Source organism: Homo sapiens, chromosome 19 (assembly GCF_000001405.40).
Source record: "Homo sapiens chromosome 19, GRCh38.p14 Primary Assembly".
NCBI classification, from domain to species: Eukaryota; Metazoa; Chordata; class Mammalia; order Primates; family Hominidae; genus Homo; species Homo sapiens.
The window spans coordinates 43,564,196-43,583,384 of record NC_000019.10 but is presented as its reverse complement, the minus strand read 5'-3'; the positions used below and the strand labels follow the sequence as shown (position 1 = coordinate 43,583,384).

At 49.5% G+C, this 19,189-nt stretch overlaps 2 protein-coding genes across 6 annotated transcripts in view, besides 5 other annotated features; one reads left to right on the top strand and one right to left on the bottom strand.

Annotated features, from left to right (window-relative positions):
* Positions 1,287 to 7,876, bottom strand: PINLYP (phospholipase A2 inhibitor and LY6/PLAUR domain containing). 5 transcript variants are annotated; one of them, NM_001193621.3, is made up of 6 exons: positions 6,466 to 7,584; positions 6,124 to 6,270; positions 4,679 to 4,795; positions 2,021 to 2,173; positions 1,682 to 1,822; positions 1,287 to 1,517 (listed from the first exon to the last, which is right to left on the bottom strand). In NM_001193621.3, exons 2-6 carry the CDS (start codon positions 6,191 to 6,193, stop codon positions 1,384 to 1,386), a joined length of 615 nt encoding a protein of 204 aa, NP_001180550.2. In that variant the 5' UTR covers positions 6,194 to 6,270; positions 6,466 to 7,584; the 3' UTR covers positions 1,287 to 1,383. The 5 variants fall into 5 exon arrangements, with proteins under 5 accessions (NP_001180550.2, XP_047294786.1, XP_011525273.1 ...); XM_047438830.1 differs by having other exon boundaries at positions 6,124 to 7,876; XM_011526971.3 differs by lacking the exons at positions 4,679 to 4,795; positions 6,124 to 6,270; positions 6,466 to 7,584 and adding an exon at positions 3,081 to 3,378.
* Positions 3,111 to 3,170: an enhancer, noted in NCBI's record as "active region_14727". NCBI's record gives its function as "activates an Ori minimal core promoter by ATAC-STARR-seq in GM12878 lymphoblastoid cells {active_cell/tissue: GM12878}" and the evidence as "EXISTENCE:reporter gene assay evidence [ECO:0000049][PMID:35858748]".
* Positions 6,432 to 6,957: an enhancer, noted in NCBI's record as "H3K27ac-H3K4me1 hESC enhancer chr19:44080580-44081105 (GRCh37/hg19 assembly coordinates)". NCBI's record gives its function as "activates a minimal SCP1, AML or CMV promoter by ChIP-STARR-seq in primed H9 embryonic stem cells {active_cell/tissue: H9 hESC(primed)}" and the evidence as "EXISTENCE:reporter gene assay evidence [ECO:0000049][PMID:30033119]".
* Positions 6,958 to 7,484: an enhancer, noted in NCBI's record as "H3K27ac-H3K4me1 hESC enhancer chr19:44080053-44080579 (GRCh37/hg19 assembly coordinates)". NCBI's record gives its function as "activates a minimal SCP1, AML or CMV promoter by ChIP-STARR-seq in primed H9 embryonic stem cells {active_cell/tissue: H9 hESC(primed)}" and the evidence as "EXISTENCE:reporter gene assay evidence [ECO:0000049][PMID:30033119]".
* Positions 7,485 to 7,644: an enhancer, noted in NCBI's record as "active region_14726". NCBI's record gives its function as "activates an Ori minimal core promoter by ATAC-STARR-seq in GM12878 lymphoblastoid cells {active_cell/tissue: GM12878}" and the evidence as "EXISTENCE:reporter gene assay evidence [ECO:0000049][PMID:35858748]".
* Positions 7,745 to 7,904: a silencer, noted in NCBI's record as "silent region_10723". NCBI's record gives its function as "represses an Ori minimal core promoter by ATAC-STARR-seq in GM12878 lymphoblastoid cells {active_cell/tissue: GM12878}" and the evidence as "EXISTENCE:reporter gene assay evidence [ECO:0000049][PMID:35858748]".
* The window catches only part of XRCC1 (X-ray repair cross complementing 1), a 32,217-nt gene continuing 20,885 nt past the window's right edge, over positions 7,858 to 19,189 (top strand). The window contains exons 1-2 of the mRNA NM_006297.3: positions 7,858 to 7,977; positions 8,383 to 8,475. Coding sequence (NP_006288.2) covers positions 7,927 to 7,977; positions 8,383 to 8,475 — 144 coding nt within the window. The 5' untranslated portion in view covers positions 7,858 to 7,926. The remainder of the gene's footprint in view (positions 7,978 to 8,382; positions 8,476 to 19,189) is intronic.

The following is a 19,189-nucleotide window of genomic DNA, read 5'->3' as shown; positions in this document are numbered from 1 at the left end:
CATGGGGAAACCCTGTCTCTACAAAAAAATTACAGGAAATAGCTGGGCATGGTGGCGCATGCCTGTAGTCCCAGCTACCAGGGAGGCTGAGCGGGGAGGATCGATTCAGCCCATGAGGTTGAGGCTGCAGTGAACTGTGATGGTTTCACTGCACTCCAGCCTGGGAGACAGAGTAAGACTCTGTCTCAAAAAAAAAAAAAAAAAAAAGAAGTCTCAGTTTTAGGATGATTTGTTACATAGCATTATTACAGTGTTAGTTAATACAACTTTGTTGTTTTAAACCACTGAGATCAGGGACTTGTTTTGTTACTGTAACATCTAGTCTGTCCCAATTGATGTCAGTGTTTAGCACCTGTCAACTAATGGCCACTCAGTAAGTGGCAGCTATTATGATGATTACTGTTTACTCAGGCATACATTGTCTTTAGAATCCACATGTGGTGCTAGGCATTGCACTAAGCGCTTTTTAAGTTGTCTTTCATTTGACTCTTACAACAACCTTATGAGGTTATAACTATTAATATCTACATTTTGCAGACATGAACACTGAGGCAAAAAGAGGAAGCAGTTAATTGAGAGAGATGATCATGGACTCTGAAGTATACCAGACTCGGGTTCAAATCAAGGTTCTGACCCTCCCTGGTTGTTTGACCCAAGGCAAATTTTGACACCCACAATCTATGCCTCAGTTTGTTCATCTGTAGAGTGGGGATAATAATATCAACCTCACAGTTGTTATGATCATGAAATGAGGTATAGCATGGAAAACACAGCACAGGGACCTGGCAAAGACTAATCCCTTCATAAAAGGCAGGGCCACCAGGCATGGTAGCTCACACCTGTCATCCCAGCACTTTGGGAGGCCAAGGATCGCTTGAGCCCAGGAGTTCAAGACCAGCCTGGGCAATGTGGTGAAACCCTGTTGCTACAAAAAAATTAAAAAATTAGCCAGTCATGGTGGTGCACGCTTGTAGTCCCAGCTACTAGGGAGGCCGAGGTGGGAGAATCACCGAGCATGGTGGTGCATGCCTGTAGTGCCAGCTACTAGGGAGGCTGACGTGAGAGAATCACCTGAGCCCGGGAGGTCGAGGCTGCAGTGAGCCTTGAATGCACCACTGCACTTCAGCCTGGGTGGCAGAGTGAGACCCTGTCTGAAAAAGAAAGAAAGAAAGAAGGCAGGGCCTTCCCTCTCTTCCTCAAAAGGAGGGGATTTGAAATGAGGATTGAGACCCCCTATTTCCTGCATTCTATCTCATCAAGATACATCACACCACAAGGACTCAGGCTTGCTCTATTAACTTCTTTATAGGCACACGGGGAGTTACAGGCTGAGGACAAATGGGGACTTCACACTACATTATCTTCCTCTGTTCAGATAGCTTTTCAGGGGGAGTGAGTGCACTCTATATGATGGAGGAAGAGGACATTGGTGCCTGTGGGTACTTCAGCACCAGGCTTGGTAAAGCACATACTCTCTGTAGCACAGCCCCGCATAGCAAATCTGGGTTTGAAAATACCTGAAAGGGAGATTTCAGACTGGAATCAGGGACCTCAGCCCCTTCTTCCTCATAATCCCAGAACACATCCTCACCCACTTCTCTGGAACCCTCTCCTCCCATCGAACCTAGAAGTTTGGACCTCTAGTTCTGTTTCCTTTTCCAGAGATTCAGGCACCACTCACCAGCCTGCACGTGTCCAGATAAGGAGACGCAGTGGTTTTCCTTTCCAGTACAGTGGGTCATGGGCCCCATGCATTTGTCCCTGAAGCTCGCAGTGCAGGCGGGGCACATCAGGCCATTCTCAGTAAGATTGGTCAAGGGAACTGAGGATGAGGATGAAGTGTAAGGTGAATAGGGATGTTTAAGCCGTTCCCCCAACCTCCCAACAACCCCGGGAAACACCAGGGTTGCTAATAGACACTGCATTTTACAGGTAAGGAAACAGGCTCAGAGCCAGCAAGTGGCTACAGCAAGGGTCAGTGGAGAGCCAGAGCACACACCACACACCACGGGCTTCTTACCAGACAAAAAGGCACTGTTGCAGCCGTCGCTCTGGCAGCAGAAGGAGCTGGTTACCATGTGGTCCTTGGGGCCCATGGTGGTGGATATAACGCCGGAGTAGCAGTCCTGGGACCTGATGCAGCCCTTGTAGGTGTGCACCAACTCCTTGCCCTCTGTGGGATGGGGACAGGCAGGGACAGTGCTGGCTGACCACTCCCTGGCTTCAACCCCTGCCTCAAGGTCTTGCCTAACCCTAGGCCTCCCCAACCCCACAACTTCCTGGGATGGTCTCTTTCTTTTTTTTCTTTCTTTTCTTATTTTTTTTAGACGGAGTTGCCCAGGCTGGAGTGCAATGGCGCGATCTTGGCTCACTGCAACCTCCACCTCCCGAGTAGCTGCGATCACAGGCGACCGCCACCATGCCCGGCTATTTTTTTGTATTTTTAATAGAGACGGGGTTTCACCATGTTGGCCAGGCTGGTCTCCAACTCCTGACCTCAGGTGATCCGCCCGCCTCGGCCTCCCAAAGTGCTGGGATTACAGGCGGGAGCCACTGCGCCAGCCCGGCCGGGGCGGTCTCTTTCAAGCCCCCTAGAGCCATGCGGCCAAATCTGTCTGGTGCATGGCCTGGAGTGCTTTCTTAGGTAGCCCTCCCTCCCGCTGCCATAGCCCCTAGTCGGCCTTTGGTGGTCTCTTCCAGCTCCCCATTGCCAACCTCAGCCTGCTGGATGTGGTCCCTTCCACCCCACCCCACCCCACCCACGGCCACCCCTCTCTCCCTGTCCTTCCGGGATTACTCTATTTCAGGCCGCCTATGGCCACCCCCATGCCTTCGTGAAATGGTCTCTTCCAGCCTCCTCAACTCCCCGCCAACCCCCGCCCACCCCGTAGTCTCTTCCAATGAACCCCGGTCCCAGCAACAGGCATCCTCCTCTCTCAGATCCTGCCATGGTCACTCCTCAGACCTCCCAACGAGGGTCTCTTGCTGCCCCTCTTGGCTATTTTCAGGTCTTGTTTAAGGTGGGTTCTTCCAGTCTCCCCGGCCTTCCCCCTCCCCACCATGTGGTGGTCTCTTCCTACCCAATTCACAGGTTCCCCCTTCACTCCATCGAGGGGTCCCCCAGCTCTCTCTCCTCCCTTCCCGAGGGTGCGTTTCCTCTTCTATGCCGGGATGGGGGTTCTCTTCAAGCCTTTCAGGTCCTTCCTTAACCCACCAACGCTGGCTGGGTGATTTTCGATCTCACTTTCCTTTCACAGCCTCTCCCGACCAGTGTTTTCTCCCTGCACCCAAAGTCGCCTTTATTCCCTCACCAGGCCTCATCATCTCTCCTCCTGTGATTGAAAGTCTCTTTCAGCTTTGTATAAACATCTCTGTCCCCCACTGGTCTCTTCCATTGCTCCCTTTCTCCTCCATCATTTTTCAGGTCTGGGGTGGTCTCTTTCATTTAACTCATGCCCATCTTCTCTCTTCCATTTTATTTTCTGAGACAGGTTTCCCTCTGTTGCCCAGGCTGGAGTGCAGCGGTGTGCACTTAGCTCGCTGCAGCCTCGATCTCCTAAGCTCAAGTGATCCTCCTGCCTCAGCCTCCCAAGTGGCTGGGACTACAGGCATGTGCCACCATGCGCAACTATTTTTTTTTTTTTTTTTCTGTAGAGATGGATCTCTTTTTGTTGTCCAGGCTGGTCTCAAACTCCTGGGCTCAAACGATCCTCCCACCTCAACCTCCCAAAGTGCTGGGATTACAGGCGTGAACCACCGTGCCCGGCCTCCCTTTCATTTTACTCATCCACATCTCCCCCTCCCTGTCTCTGCTTCTCCTCTTTACGATGATTTGCTCAGCCAGGCACGGTAGCTCATGCCTGTAATCCCAGCACTTTGGGAGGTCGAGGCGGGAGAATCACTTGAGGTCAGGAGTTAGAGACCAGCCTGGCCAACATGGCGAAACCCCGTCTCTACTAAAAAATACAAAAATTAGCCAGGTGTGGTGGCACGCACCTGTAATTCCAGCTACTCGGGAGGCTGAGGCAGGAGAATCGCTTGAACCTGGGAAGTGGAGGTTGCAGTGAGCAGAGATCGCGCCATTGCACTCCATCCTGGGTGACAGAGCGAGACTCTGTCTCAAAAAAGAAAAAAAATGATTTGCTCCATACTTCAAGGTTATCATCCATCTCCTGTTTGGGGTGATCCCTTTTCTGTCTCTTCCACCACTCCAACACTCCACCATCATCTCTCCTCCCTCGGTCAGGAATGACCTCTTCCCTGATTACACTTACACTTTCCCACCCCAGCCCAGCCTCTTCCTTCTCTATCCACTCCCCACCATTTCCACCTCCTGCCAGTTAGATTCTTCCCCTCTCACTATTTCTCTGCCCCCCACAGTGTCTTTCCTTACCCCTCTTCTGCCTAAGAAAGTCTATTAACTCTCACCCCTCCCACATTTTCCTTCTCTTTAGGACAGTGTCATTTTCAGAATTCTGTGACAATAATGATTTCTATCACACCACTTATTTCTGTTCCCTCCATCTCATGATGGTCTTTCCCTCTTTCCTGCTCTCCACTGATTTCTTCCCACGCTCCCGTCTTGAGAACCATGATGATCCCCCCTCAGCATGGTAGTCTCTTCCACCCTGAAGGTACACCCCACCTCCCCACCAGGTCCCAGGCCACATCCTCTTACTTGAAGTAGCCTTCCCGACCAGGAGCACACATGTGTCCTTGTCACTGCTGCAGGTCTTCATTTGGCCATGGCACCTGCTCCCCGCCGCCGTACATATTTCGCAGTGTAGTGGGCACCCTGCAGTGTAGACAGAGGGCGAGGCTGTAGTCATGGGTGGTGTGGTCTTCGGACCACGACTTTGACTTAGGACTTTTGTGTCCTGAGAGAGGAGGGACCAGCAGCTCCCTGGTTTTTCATGGGCGGGATGTTGACCACTGCCCAAGGAACTGTCCAGAGTTGGACGAAGAAGCAGTGGTGATGCCAGCAAAGCTGCTTCCAGGGGCGGGAAGCGACTCCACCATGAAGCCTGTTTGCCTAATTACATGGCTGGGGATTTTGGATGCCAGGGTCCGCTGAGAAAGCTCAGGGGCAGGGAGGGGTCGTGATGGAGGTTTCCATGGACTTTTGTGAAACTTCAGGTCCAGCTGGTTCTTGAATGTGGGATTCTCCTCCTTGAAGGTGCCATGTAGGTCTTGTAGACAGCAGGAGCTCAGGCAGGGGGCCCTGAGGCTAGGGTCTGCATCCCAGGTCAAGGAGGGAGAGTGAGGACCAGGAGGGCAGAGGACTTGAACTTCTTGGTTCTGAGAGAGGGGACAGCTAGGGGCCCAGAAACCTGGGTCCTGGGGAAAGTGAGGCTTACTTGGACTCCTGTGTGCAGGGGAGGAGGGGGCTGGGGCCTGAACTTCTTAGTCTAAGGAGAAAGGAAATCTCTCTACCTCTTTTAAAAAAATATATCATATGATATTAATGTATTTTTTTTGAGATGGAGTTTTGCTCTGTCACCCAGGCTGGGGAGTGCAGTGGCACGATCTTGGCTCACTGCAACCTTTGCCTCCCAGTTTCAAGCAATCCTCTCACCTCAGCCTCCCAAGTAGCTAGGATTACAGGCGCCCACCACCAAGCTCAGCTAACTTTTTTTGTATTTTTAGTAAAGACGGGGTTTCACCATGTTGGCCAGGCTGGTCTTGAACTCCTGACCTCAAGTGATCCACCTGCCTCGGCCTCTTAAAGTGCTGGGGTTACAGGCATGAGCCACCGCACCTGGCCTTCTCCCTCTTTTTTTTTTTTTAATTATATTTTTAAAGATTTCCCTTTCCAGCCATGCTCTCATCTGATTTCCTAGAATTGAGATGTGTTTGGGATCCTTCCTGGAGGATGGAGGATTCAGAGCCCACCAAGCCCCTCTCTCAGGGATCCAATCACAGGAGCTTTTCTTCTCTGGGACCCCCAGGCTTTCTCTTCCTTTACCCTTGGCCTCTTCCATGAATCTGAATTTCCAGAATGCCTCCCCGTTCACCTTGAGGACTTGCTGAAGGCTCTTTCTCTCTCTATATCTCTCTCTCTCTCAATCTGGGACCTCTCTCTTCCTGAGGTCCCAGAGACAGTTCAGGTCCCTTGTCACTTACCAAGACCCAGGAGGGTGCAGAGCAACACAAAGGCCAGCAGAAAGGTCTCTGGTCTCCTGGAGAGCCTCATGGTGTGTGTATCAGCAGTACCTGGTCCCCAGCTTTTATAGGAAGCTGAGGAGGGGTGGGTCTGGACCCACATTCACCCTACGGGGAGAAATAGCTGAGGTCAGAACCCAGGGCAGTCCTCTGTGGCCTCCGGGTTGGGAAGGCAGAACCAGAATCCAAAAGTGACCTGGGCATCTTGTGCCCAGCCCCCCACCTCCATGGAGACCCCAGGAGTCTGGGCTTCCATCCCCCTCTTCTATTAGAACCCAGAAAGTCACCACCCTGTTTTCTCACCTTCCCACGGCCCATTGTTGTTTGTTTGTTTGCTTGAAGACCAAGACGGAGTTGGGCCTCTTGATTCCCAGTGGCTGCAAGAACTGGGATTCCCTCTCCTTCTCTCTCTTCCCCTCTCCTCCCAAGGAAGCACCCAGTGTGGGTAGGGCCCCACCTTGGAGCACCCAGCATGTCCAGGCTGGTCCTGCGGGTGCGGGGTGCCTTGTCTCCCTTCCCCTCTCTTCATGTGCTCGGCTCACACTCCTTGTGTGTTTGGGCTGTCTCCAGCTGCGACCCCACCCAGGGCTGCACCCTTGGGTCTCCAAGGCACCGAATGAACAGAGGGATGTCTGTCGGCAGTCATAGGCGGGCGTAGTAAAAGACAGATGCCCACAGTCCACATATTGGGAAACTGAGGCTTTTGTGGAAGAACTCCAGGATAGGGGTGTGTGTGTGTGTGTGTGGTGGGGGTTGGGCACATGCTTTGTGTTATATTTAGGACGCAGAACCCTTCTCTTTTGGCCTCAGGCATAAGGCTGAAAGAGATCTGCTAATTTTTTTCGCGCGTGCGCGCGCGCGTATGTATGTATATGTGCGTGTGTGTGTGTGTGGCAAGGGGACAGAGAGAAGAGTGCAGCCGCCTGAGCCATTTGAAGAGATCCTGTTGCGTAGAATCCAGGTTCCCTACGAAACTACGAAAATTCACTCAGATTTGCTGTCCTAGCCCAGCGCAGTCGCTCACGCCTGTAGTTCCAGCACTTTGAGAGGCCGAGGCAGGTGGATCGCTTGAGCTGAGGAGTTCGAGACCAGTCTGGGCAACATGGCAAGACCCGCCGCCCTCTCACCCCATGTCTCCACAAAAAATACAAAAATTAGCCGAATGTGGTGGCGCGTGCGTGTAATCCCAGCTACTTAGGAGGCTGAAGTGGGAGGATCCCTTGGCCCCAGGAGACAGGGGTTGCAGAAAGCCGAGATCGTGCCACTGCACTCCATCCTGGGTGAGAGAGCAAGACCCTGTCTCAACAAAAAATTTTTAAAAAATAAAATAAATAATAATACAGCAAAAAGATTTGCTTTCTCGGCTTCAGTGTGGGCGGTAACTCCATCGTGCAATGAGAAAGGCGAATTTCTTCCAGACACCAATCCCGGAGGTCGCTTCTGTTGCTAGGCTCCCAGAAAGCAGGGTTCGGACGTCATTGGGAGGCGAGGCTAGAGCGGGGTTGTGTGTGGCGGAGGGAGGCGGGGCTGGAGGAAACGCTCGTTGCTAAGGAACGCAGCGCTCTTCCCGCTCTGGAGAGGCGCGACTGGGCTTGCGCAGTGTCGACGCCGGCGCCGGCGCGCCGGGGTTTGAAAGGCCCGAGCCTCGCGCGCTTGCGCACTTTAGCCAGCGCAGGGCGCACCCCGCCCCCTCCCACTCTCCCTGCCCCTCGGACCCCATACTCTACCTCATCCTTCTGGCCAGGCGAAGCCCACGACGTTGACATGCCGGAGATCCGCCTCCGCCATGTCGTGTCCTGCAGCAGCCAGGACTCGGTGAGGGACCTGCATGGGGGAGGTTGGAAGACGTGAGGGAATTAATGAGGATAGCTCTTAAAAGAGCTTTTGGGGTTCTCTTGGAAGTCTAAGGAGAGTCATGGGGGGATTTCCAGGAGGCTAAAAGTGAATTGTGGAGAGATGTTGAATTAGGGACGTTCCGGCGTCTAGGGAACTTCCGGAGAGAAAAGGAGGAATAGGGAAGCTTTCTTGGAGAGCCCATAGGTGAACTTCCACGGGAAAGTGTTGTAGGGGAAACTCCAGGCAGAGTGTCGGGGGATTAACGGGAGAGCTTAAATCTGGGGGTCGTAGAGGCCTTGGGAGGACTCAAAGGAATCATCTGAGAGCTGGAGGCCTAGCTGTCATCTCTGTGCCCTAATTCTCCTCTCCCACTGTTGTTTCCAGACTCACTGTGCAGAAAATCTTCTCAAGGCAGACACTTACCGAAAATGGCGGGCAGCCAAGGCAGGCGAGAAGACCATCTCTGTGGTCCTACAGGTGATCCTGCCACCCCACCTCCTCCTCACTAGGAGTCTGGAGTCCGGGGTTCCAGATTCTGCTCCTGAGCCAACTGGCAGTGGGTTTAGTCACTTTCTTTGCTGGGCCTCAGCTTCCTTACTCGGAAAATGGGCAGCATAATCCCTGTGCCCCTCAGCAGAGAGGAAAGGAGACCCAAGGATTAAGTCCAGGATGACCACAGGAATCAGTGTGTGGTCCTGGGCAGGTGGCATCTACTTTCTGGGTTCCAGTTTCCTCAGCTGGAACAAAATGAATCATTGCCACGTACTCTGCCTCCTGCAGCCAGTGGGCTCAGGGCTGGAAGGTGTCCAGGAAGGTCGTCTAAGCCAATCAACTCCACTTTAAAGAAGGGGAAACTGGCCGGATGCCGTGGCTCATGCCTGTAAACCCAGCACTTTCAGAGCCTGAGATGGGAGGATTGCTTGAGCTCAGGAGTTCCAGACCAGCCTGGGCAACATATCAAGACCCTGTCTCTATTTTTATTAAAATAAATAATTTTTTTTAAAGAATAATAGCCAGGTATGGTGGTTCACACCTGTAATCCCATCACTTTGGGAGGCCGAAGCTGGAGTATTGCATGAGCCCAGGAGTTTGAGACCAGCCTGGGCAATACAGTAAGATGTCATCTCTACCAAAATTTTATAGATTAGCTGAGTATGGTGGTGTGCACCTGCAATCCCAGCTACTGGCGAGTCTGAGGTGAGAGAATTGCTTGAGCCCAGGAGATGGAGGCTGCAGTGAGCTGAGATTGTGCCACTGCACTCCAGCCTGGGCACCAGAGTGAGACCCCCAAAATATAAAAAATAAAATAATAATAATGAGAGCTGGCATTATTCAACGTTACCTGTCAGTCGCTGCTCTACACACCTCACTCACATGGATTAGCTCATTGAGTCCTCATAAAAAACCCCAAGAGGCAGGCTCTGTTATCCCCACTTTTACAGATGAGGAAACTGAGGCCCAAAGAAGTTATACAATTTGCCTGACAGTCAATCTTTTATTTATCTGTTGAGACAGAGTCTCACTCTGTTCCCAGGCTGTAGTGCAGTGGCATGATCTTGGCTTGGCTCACTGCAGCCTCTACCTCCTGGGCTCAAGCGATCCTCCCACCTCAGCCTCCTGAGTAGCTGGGACTGCAGGTGTGCACCACCATGCCTGGCTAGTTTTTTTTGTATTTTTTTAGAGATGGGGTTTCCACCATGTTGCCAGGCTGGTCTCAAACTCCTGGGCTCAAGCGTTCCTCCTGCTTCAGCCTCCCAAAGTGCTCGGATGACAGGCATGAACCATTGTTCCTGGCCTGGGGGCTGCTTTATGACTATAAGGAGCAGAACACTCTGTGGATAGTGCTAGGGTGACGGAAAAATTAACCTTTTGTGAATGGGCAGTCATTCAGCAAATATCCACTCCTCTCCCTCCCACTGGAGGGGGAGTATATTTCCCTGCTCCATTGATGAGTTTGACCATATGATTTACTTAATGGAATTTCAGCACATCTAACTTCAGCAAGGGCCTTAAATGCACTTGGCTTTTGTGCTCCCATAATATGCCATGAGAACATTTGCCAGGTTACTGCTAATCCCAGAAAACTGTGGAATCTCATGGAAGAGACCTGAATCCTCCCAAACTGCAGCCAAAGCAGCCATCCCACAAATTCTTATAAGAATGCTTGTTGGTATAAGTCTCAGTTTTCATGTTGGGAGGTCGAGGTGGGTGAATCGCTTGAACCCAGGAGTTTGAGACCAGCCTGGGTAACATGGGGAAACCCTATCTCTACGAAAAATTATAAAAAATAGCTGGGCTTGGTGGCGTATGCCTGTAGTCCCAGCTACCAGGGAGGCTGAGCGGGGAGGATTGATTGAGCCCATAAGGTTGAAGCTGCAGTGAACTGTGATGGTTTCACTGCACTCCGGCCTGTGAGACAGAGTGAGACTGTATCTCAAAAAAAAAAAAAAAAAAAAAAAGAAAAGATCTCAGTTTTAGGATGATTTGTTACACAGCATTATTACAGTGTAAGTTAATACAACTTGGTTGTTTTAAACCACTGAGATTAGGGACTCCTTTGTTACTGTAACATCATCTGGTCCACCCCAATTGATGTCAGTGTTTAGTGCCTGTCAACTAATGGCCTCCACTTCCCAGGTTCAAATGATTCTCATGCCTCAGCCTTCTGAGTAGTTGGAATTTACATGCCTGGCTAATTTTTGTATTTATAATAGAGACCGAGTTTTGCCATGTTGGCTAGGCTGGTCTTGAACTCCTGACCTCAGGAGTTCAAGGCAAATGAGCACCAAATGCTAATTTAAGTGATCCACCCACCTTGGCCTCCCAAAATGTTGGGATTACAGGCATGAGCCACTGCACCTGACCTCAGTCTTTTAAACTGTGATAGATACAGATTGCTGACAGTTTTAGTCTTGAGATCTAGATTCAAGCCCCCAGCTCTTCCTCTTAATCGGTGACCTCAAGAAAATTGTTTCATTTCTCTAACCTGTTTTCTCATGTGTCCATTGGGAATAATGACATCCAAGCCCGGAGTTGTGAAAATTCGGTGACATAATGTCTGCACAAGTGCTCTGTCAACATGTAGGTGTTTGTGTAGAGGGAGGGATTTGTGTTTTTATTACTTAGTGGGTGATGATTCCACTGGGCTCTCTTATGATCAAGTGACTCCAGGGAAATCACATTTCATTCTGTTACCCCAGTTGCTGTGGAAACAGAGTGACTGGAGGCAGAAGAGACAGAACCTGTCTCTGGCCTGGGAGAGACTGAGGGAGTATTGCAGCGGTCACCAACATGGTAAACCCCAGAGGGAGCAGCTTGGGGAGGTGATGTGTTTCAGTTGGGATGTCCAGGTTTGATGTGACTTTGGGACATTCTAGGGGTGGCATCCAGGAGGCAGTTGGGGATCACATGTGGAGCTGAAGACAGAATGTGGGGAAGTTGTCAGTGCAGAGAAAGAACCTATAGACTCGGGAGTAGATGATGGATTTATTTGTTCATTCACTCATTTATTTAGTCAAGTATTTATTAAGTGCCTTCTGTAGGCCAAGCACTGTTTTAATACAGCAGTACACAGCAGAAGACAAAAAATATTCACTCTCAGTGGGGTGCAGTAAGCTCACGCCTATAATCCCAGCACTTTGGGAGGCCAAGGCCTGGCAGTTCGAGACCAGCTTGGGCAACACAGGGAAACTTCATCTCTACTAAAAATACAAAAATCTGCCAAGCGTGGTGGCCTATGCCTGTGGTCCCAGCTACTCCAGAGGCTGAGGCGGGAGGATCACTTGAGCCTGGAAGATCAAGGCTGTAGTGAGCTATGATCGCACCATTGCGCTCCAGCCTGGGCAACAGAATGAGATGCTGTCTCTTAAAAACAAAAGAAATTCAGTCTTGTGGAGCTTTCACGTTAGTAGGGAAAGACTGACAAATGAGTCAGTGAAACATATGTTGGATGATGAGTGCTATGGAGGAACTTAATGAAGGGGAATGAGAGTGCCCCAGCTGGAGCTGGAGCAGTGGCAAGGATTTTTATTTAAATAGTAGGGTCCGGGAAGGCCTCCCTGAAAAGGGGACATTTGAGCAACATGAGCTATGTATGTATCTAGGGAAAAGACTCTGAAGCTGGCTTGTGACAGCAAGGAGGCCAGTATGGCTGGGGTGGAGTCAGCCAGGGGGAGAGAGGTAGGAGATGAGGTAACAGGGTGGGACTGGGAACCCCTAAAAAACCACTTAAGGCCTGGAAAGCCATTGAAAGGACTTGAGCTTTTACTCCAGGTGTGAGATAGGAGCCACCGGAGGGCTCCGAGCAGAGGAGGGACAGGATCTGCCTTAGGCCTTCACAGGATCCTGCTGGCTCCATGTTGACAATCAACTGCAGGGGCCACACACAGGAGTGGGAGATCAGCATTGCAGCAGTTGTTTTGTTAACTTACTCCACGTCAGAGACCCTTTGGAATGACTGATTGCATCTGGCAATGACTAATTTGTGGGGTTACTCTGGATTCATCAAATGCTAATTTTGATTCTTTTGACGTAACTGATAAAGGCAGACATTTCTGGCCACCAAGGCAGTAGGCTTATCTCTGGGTTGTTATGTTATGTTTTGAGACAGGGTCTCACTCTCTTGCCCAGGTTGGAGTGCAGTTGCAAAGTCATGGCTCACTGTAGCCTCAACCTCCTGGGCTCAGGCAATCCTCCCACCTCAGCCTCCCAGATAGCTGGGACTACAGGCGTGTGCCGCCAGGCCCAGCTAATTTTAAAAATTTTTCGTAGAGATGGGGTCTCACTATGTTGCCCAGCCTGGTCTCGGACTCCTGAGCTCAAGCAGTCCTCCTGTCTTGGCCTCCCAAAGTGCTGGCATTACAGGCATGAGCCACTGCACCTGGCCACATCTGTGGGTTCTTCTACTACCCTGCATTTTCTCCTCTAATTATTGTTATGCAAAATCTCGATCTTACCACATGGGGCTTAGCCATCTGCTTATGACAGCCCCACACACCTGGTTGTTTGCAGTAGCCACAGCAGGCTCTGTTGTCTGTTCATCACCTGCTCCCAGAGGGAAATGCCAACCTCTTTGCTAACTACTCCTGGGCTGGAGGGGTGGCTTGGACAAGACCCAGATATAACTCTGGTGTGTCACTGGAGGTGTGTCATTTTTAGAAGAAATGTTCATCAGCAATAGGGCCTATGGTCATTTTTGATTGTTATTGGTTTTCTAATCACTCAGTTCGCCACTGTGGTGTCTTAAATTTGTTTTTACTGTTTTTTGATGTGTAACATACATAGAGTGAAGTGAAGGTGTAAGTAAGAGTACAGCTCAGTGACTCTTTGCAAACTGCAGCCCTGTGTACTCCACACCCAGATGCAGCACAGAACATGCCTAGCCCCCAGCAGTTCCCTCAGGTTCTTTCTGTCAGTACCCCTGCAAGGGTAACCACTGTCCTGATTGTTAACAGCATAGATTCATTTTGCCTGATTTTGAATTGCATATAAAATGGAATCGTGTGGTATAAACTTTTCTTATCTGGCTTCCCTTGTTATGTTTGTTCATTTCATCTATGTCGTTCAGTGTAGCTGTAGATGATTTATTGTGATTTTTTTTTTTTCTGAGACGGAGTTTCGTCTTGTTGTTCTGGCTGGAGTGCAATGGCACAATCTCAGCTCACTGCAACCTCCGCCTCCCAGGTTCAAGTGGTTCTCTTGCCTCAGCCTCCCAAGTAGCTGGGATTACAGGCATGCACCACCACGCCTGGCTAATTTTTTGTATTTAGTAGAGACAGGTTTTCACCATGTTGGTCAGGCTGGTCTCGAACTCCTGACCTCTAGTGATCCACCTGCCTTGGCCTCCCAAAGTGCTGGGATTACAGGCATGAGCCACTGTGCTCGACTCCTATTGTCTTTTTTTTTTTTTTTTGAGACAGGGTCTCACTATGTTGCCCAGGCTGGAGTGCAGTGGCACCATCTCAGCTCACTACAGGCTCGACCTCCCGGGCTCAAGCGATCCTCCCACCTCAGCCTCCTCAGTAGTTGGGACTACAGGCATGTGCCAGTTCACCAGTCTAATTTTTGTATTTTTTTTGCAGAGATGGGGGTCTCACTGTGTTGTCTAGGCTGGTCTTGAACTCCTGGACTCAAGCATTCCTCCTGCCTCAGCTTCTTAAATCCTTGGGATTACAGACATGAGCCACTGCACCTGGCCTATTGTCATTTCTGTATAGTATTCTGTTGTATTGAGATAACTATTATGGTTTTATTTATTTATATTTGATTTTCTTTTTTAAACGGAGTCTCACTATGTTGCCAAGGCTGGTCTTGAACTGTTGATCTCAGGTGATCCCCCAACTTGGCCTCCTGAGTAGCTAGGACTATAGGTGCACACCACCACACCCAACTAATTTTTTTTTTTTTTTTTAAGCTTTTTGGAGGCAGCTTCCTGAGTAGCTGGGATTACAGGGATTACAGACAGAGCCACAAAGACCTGGCCATTGGGGTTTTATTATATTTGCTTTCTGAATGGGTATTATATGCATATAGTGCAAAATTCAAAAGGTGCAAAAGGGTATACACTAAAAAGAAAATCTCCCCTCACCCTTTCCATCCCTCCCTGCTCCCTCCCCAACTCCTGCTCCCTCCCCAACTCCTGCTCCCTCATTCTTCTCTCCTGATGCAACCACCATTAGCAGTTTTTTTGGGTGGTCTTCCTGGGTCATTCTGTACACATACAAGCATATATACCTACCGCCTCCATCCCTTTTTAAAAAATTCATAGTATATACACTGTTCCCTTGTGTGTTTTTTTTCAAGTAACAGTGTATTTTGGAGATGCACACTGCATGAAGTTCTACCTTATTTATTTATTTATTTATTTACTTACTTACTTACTTACTTACTTTGAGACAGAATCTCGCTCTGTCACTCAGGCTGGAGTGTAGTAGTGCGATCGTGGCTCACTGCAACCTCCCCCTCCCAGCTTCAAGTGATTCTCCTGCCTCAATCTCCCTAGTAGCTGGGATTACGGGCACATGCCACCAGGCTTGGCTAATTTTTGTATTTTTGGTAGAGATGGGGTTTCCCCATGTTAGCCAGGCTGGTCTTGAATTCCTGACCTCAAGTGATCCTCCTGCCTTGGCCTCCCAAAGTGTTGGGATTACAGGCGTCAGCCACGCCGTGCGCAGCCTACCTTATTCTTTTAAATGATGCATACAATTGCATTTCATGGCCGGGCGCGGTGGCTCACGCCTGTAATCCCAGCACTTTGGGAGGCTGAGGCAGGTGGATCACGAGGTCAGGTGTTCAAGACCAGCCTGGCCAAGATGGTGGAACCCTGTCTCTACTAAAAATATAAAAATTAGCCAGGTGCAGTGGTGGGCACCTGTAATCCCAGCTACCTGGGAGGCTGAGGCAGGAGAATTGTTTGAACCCGGGAGGCGGAGGTTGCAGAGAGCCGAGATCGTGCCACTGTACTCTAGCCTGGGTGACAGAGCAAGACTCTGTCTCAAAAAAAAAAAAAAAAGAAAAGATTGCATTTCATGGATGTGAAACAGTTTTTTAGCAATATATCTCAGGAACTTTGCCTTCCTGTGCCATGTTTGTTTCAGGAACAGTTCATATCAGAACTGTGTCTCCCTGAGAAAGCTGCATGCACACGAACCCAGGCCATCGGTGATAGTCATCTTGTGCTCTTATCCTCACAGCTGATACATACTGAGCACTCATCTCTTATTTTGAGAAAAATTCACATAAAATTTACTGTTTTAACCATTTAAAGTGCACATTTCAGCCAGATGCGGTAGCTCACACCTGTAATCCCAGCACTTTGGGAGGCCAAGGCGGGTGGATTGCTTGAGGTCAGGGATTCGAGACTAGGCTGGCCAACATGGTGAAACCCCATCTCTACTGAAAATACAAAAATTAGCCGGGGGTGGTGGTGCGTGCCTGTAGTCCCAGCTATTCGGGAGGCTGAGGCAAGAGAATCACTTGAACTGGAAGGCAGAGTTTGCAGTGAGCTGAGATTGCACCACTGCACTCCAGCCTGGGCAACAGAGTGAGACTCCGTCTCAACAAAAAACATAAATAAATAAATAAATAAAGTGCACATTTCAGGGTTTTTTTTTTTTTTTTAGCATATTGACAATGTTCTTCAACCATCTCCATTCTCTAATTCAGAATATTTTCATCACTCCAAAAAGAAACCACATAACCATTAAACAGTCACTTCTTATTCTCTCCCCAATGTTGCCCTTGGCAACCACTGATCTACTTTCTGCTTCTCTGGATTTGCGTATTCTGGACTTATAAATGTATACGTGGTCTTTTACACTTAACCTTGTTACACTTTGCATAATGTTTCTGAGGTTCATCCATGTTGTAGCATATATCACAACTTCAGTTTTTTAAATAACTGGATGATATTCCATAAATATACTGTACAATGTTTATCTATTCATCAACTGATGGACATTTATTGGGTTGTTACCATGTATATATAAACCTTTTTTTTTTTTTTTTTTTGAGATTGAGTCTTGCTCTGTTGCCCAGGCTGGAATGCAGTGGTGCAATCTCGGCTCACTGCAACCTCTGCTTCCCAGGTTCAAGTGATTCTCGTGCCTCAGTCTCCTGAGTAGCTGGGACTACAGGCGCATGCCACCATGCCCAACTAATTTTTCTGTTTTTAGTAGAGACGGGGTTTCGCCGTGTTGCCCAGGTTGGTCTTGAACTCCTGGGCTCAAGAAATCCACCTGCCTTGGCCTCCCAAAGTGTTGGGATTACAGGCGTGAGCCACCACCCCAGCCTCCATGTATAAACATTTTTATCAGATTCTTAAAAAGTATTTATTTACTTTTTTTTTTTTTTTTTTTGAGACAGAGTCTTGCTCTGCCACCCAGGCTGGAATGCAGTGGCATGATCTTGGCTCACTGCAACCTCCGCCTCCTGGGTTCAAGCAATTCTCTGCCTCAGCCTCCCGAGTAGCTGGGATTACAGGCGCCTGCCACCATGCCTGGTTAATTTTTGTATTTTTACTAGAGACGGGGTTTCACCCTCTTGGCCAGCCTGGTCTTGAACTCTCCTGACCTTGTGATCTGCCAACCTCTGCCTCCCGAAGTGCTAGGATTACAGGCCTGAGCCACCGTGCCTGGCCACTTTTTTTTTTTTTTAGATGGAGTCTCACTCTGTCACCCAGGCTGGAGTGCAGTGGCATGATTTCGGTTCGCTGCAACTTCTGCCTCCCAGGTTCAAGTGATTCTCTGGCCTCAGCCTCCTGTGTAGCTGGGATTACAGGTGCACGCCACCAAGTCTGGCTAATTTTTATATTTTTAGTAGAGACAGGGTTTCACCATATTGGTCATGCTGGTCTTGAACTCCTGGCCTCAAGTGATCTGCCTGCCTTGGCCTCCCAAAGTGCTGAGATTACAGGTGTGAGCCACTGTGCCCAGCCTGTTGTTTTCTCTCTTGAGACAGAGTCTCACTTTATCACCCAGGCTGGGGTGTAGTGGCTCGTCTCAACTCACTGCAACCTCCACCTCCCAGGTTCAAGTAATTCTTGTGCCTTAGCCTCCTGAGTAGCTGGGATTATTGAGGTGCGTGTCACCACACCCAGCTAACTTTTTTTATTTTTGGTAGAGACAGGGTTTTGCTATGTTGGCCAGGCTGGTCTCGAACTCCTGGCCTCAAGTGATTCTCCCGCCTCCACCTCCCACGGTGCTGGGATTACAGGCGTGAGCCAGTGCTCCTAGCCAGGACTTTTTTTATATACAAAGAAGAAATGTCAGGGAGTGCCTGTTTAAAGTAGAAATAGTTATATATGCAGTAGGAATTGTTCATTTAAAATACAAGCATCTCCATCCTACCACATTTAGGAGCTATGCTGAATATTGTGGGAGAGGTAAAGATGTTGAGTTTGACTCAGGGATGGAAAGAAAGGAGTTGAGAACAGTGGTGGTATTGGACAGTGCTTTGCAGTCAGGCAGTTGCGTCCGAAGTACTCTGCTAGTTATTAGCTTGTGTGCCATGTAAGCTATTGATTAAACCTGTCTGAGCCTCAGTTTCCCCATCTGTGAAACTGGAGTCGTAACAGACCCTTCTATTTAAAGTGGTTTTGAGGCTTCAGTGATGCCCGGCCCATGCTTAGCCAAGTGTGGTGGACAGAACAGTGGTGCTCAAAAGATGTTCATGTCCTCATCCCCAGAACCTGGAAATATTTTAATGGCCAAAGGAGCTCTGTGGGTTTGATTAAATTAAGGATCTTGAGATGGGGAGAGTGCCCTGGATTATCTGGTGGGCCTCACGTAACCCCCAGAGGCCTTATAAGGGAAAGAGGGAGGCAAGAGAGCTGGAACCAGAGCTGTGAAGATGCAAGCAGAGCCTGGAGTGATGCCAGCGCTTTCAGCAGCTTTGAAGACGAGGAAGGGACTGTGAGCCAAGGAAGGCAGGTGGCCTCGAGAAGCCGAAGATGCAAGGAGACACGTTCTCCTCTAGTGCTCCCGGAAGGAAGGAATGCAGCCCTGCCGCATCTAGATTTTAGCCCTGTAAGGCCGAGTTTCAGACTTTTGACCTCCAGATCTGTAAGATATTAAATTTGTGTGTTTTTTTTTTGTTTTTTTGAGACGGAGTTTCGCTCTTCTTGCCCAGGCTGGAGTGCAGTGGTGTGATCTCGGCTCACTGCAACCTCCGCCCCCCCGGTTTAAGCAATTCTCCTGCCTCAGCCTCCTGAGTAGCTGGGATTACAGGCATGCGCCACCACGCCTGGCTAATTTTGTATTTTTAGTAGAGACGGAGTTTCTGCATTTTGGTCAGGCTGGTCTCGAACTCCCTACCTCAGGTGATCCGCCTGCCTCAGTCTCCCAAAGTTCTGGGATTACAGGCGTGAGCCACTGCGCCTGGCCAAATTTGTGTTTTTAGCCACAAAGTTTGTGCTAATTTGTACAACAGTAACAGGAAACTCATACACCAAGCACCTGGCACATGGTGAGAATCCGAAAATGTTAGCCATGATGATCCTCTTGTGACAGATGGGACACCCAGGCAAGCAGCAGAGAAGGGGCTCAACAGGGCCACTTGGTAAGGGAGGACAGAGCCAGAGTTACTGCTTAATAACTCTTGAGTAGTAACTTCTGCAAACGGTTGCTGGGCGCCTGTTCTGCGTCTGTCTGTACATCCATTGGGAATGCAGTAGAGGCCTGCTGTGTTAATGATA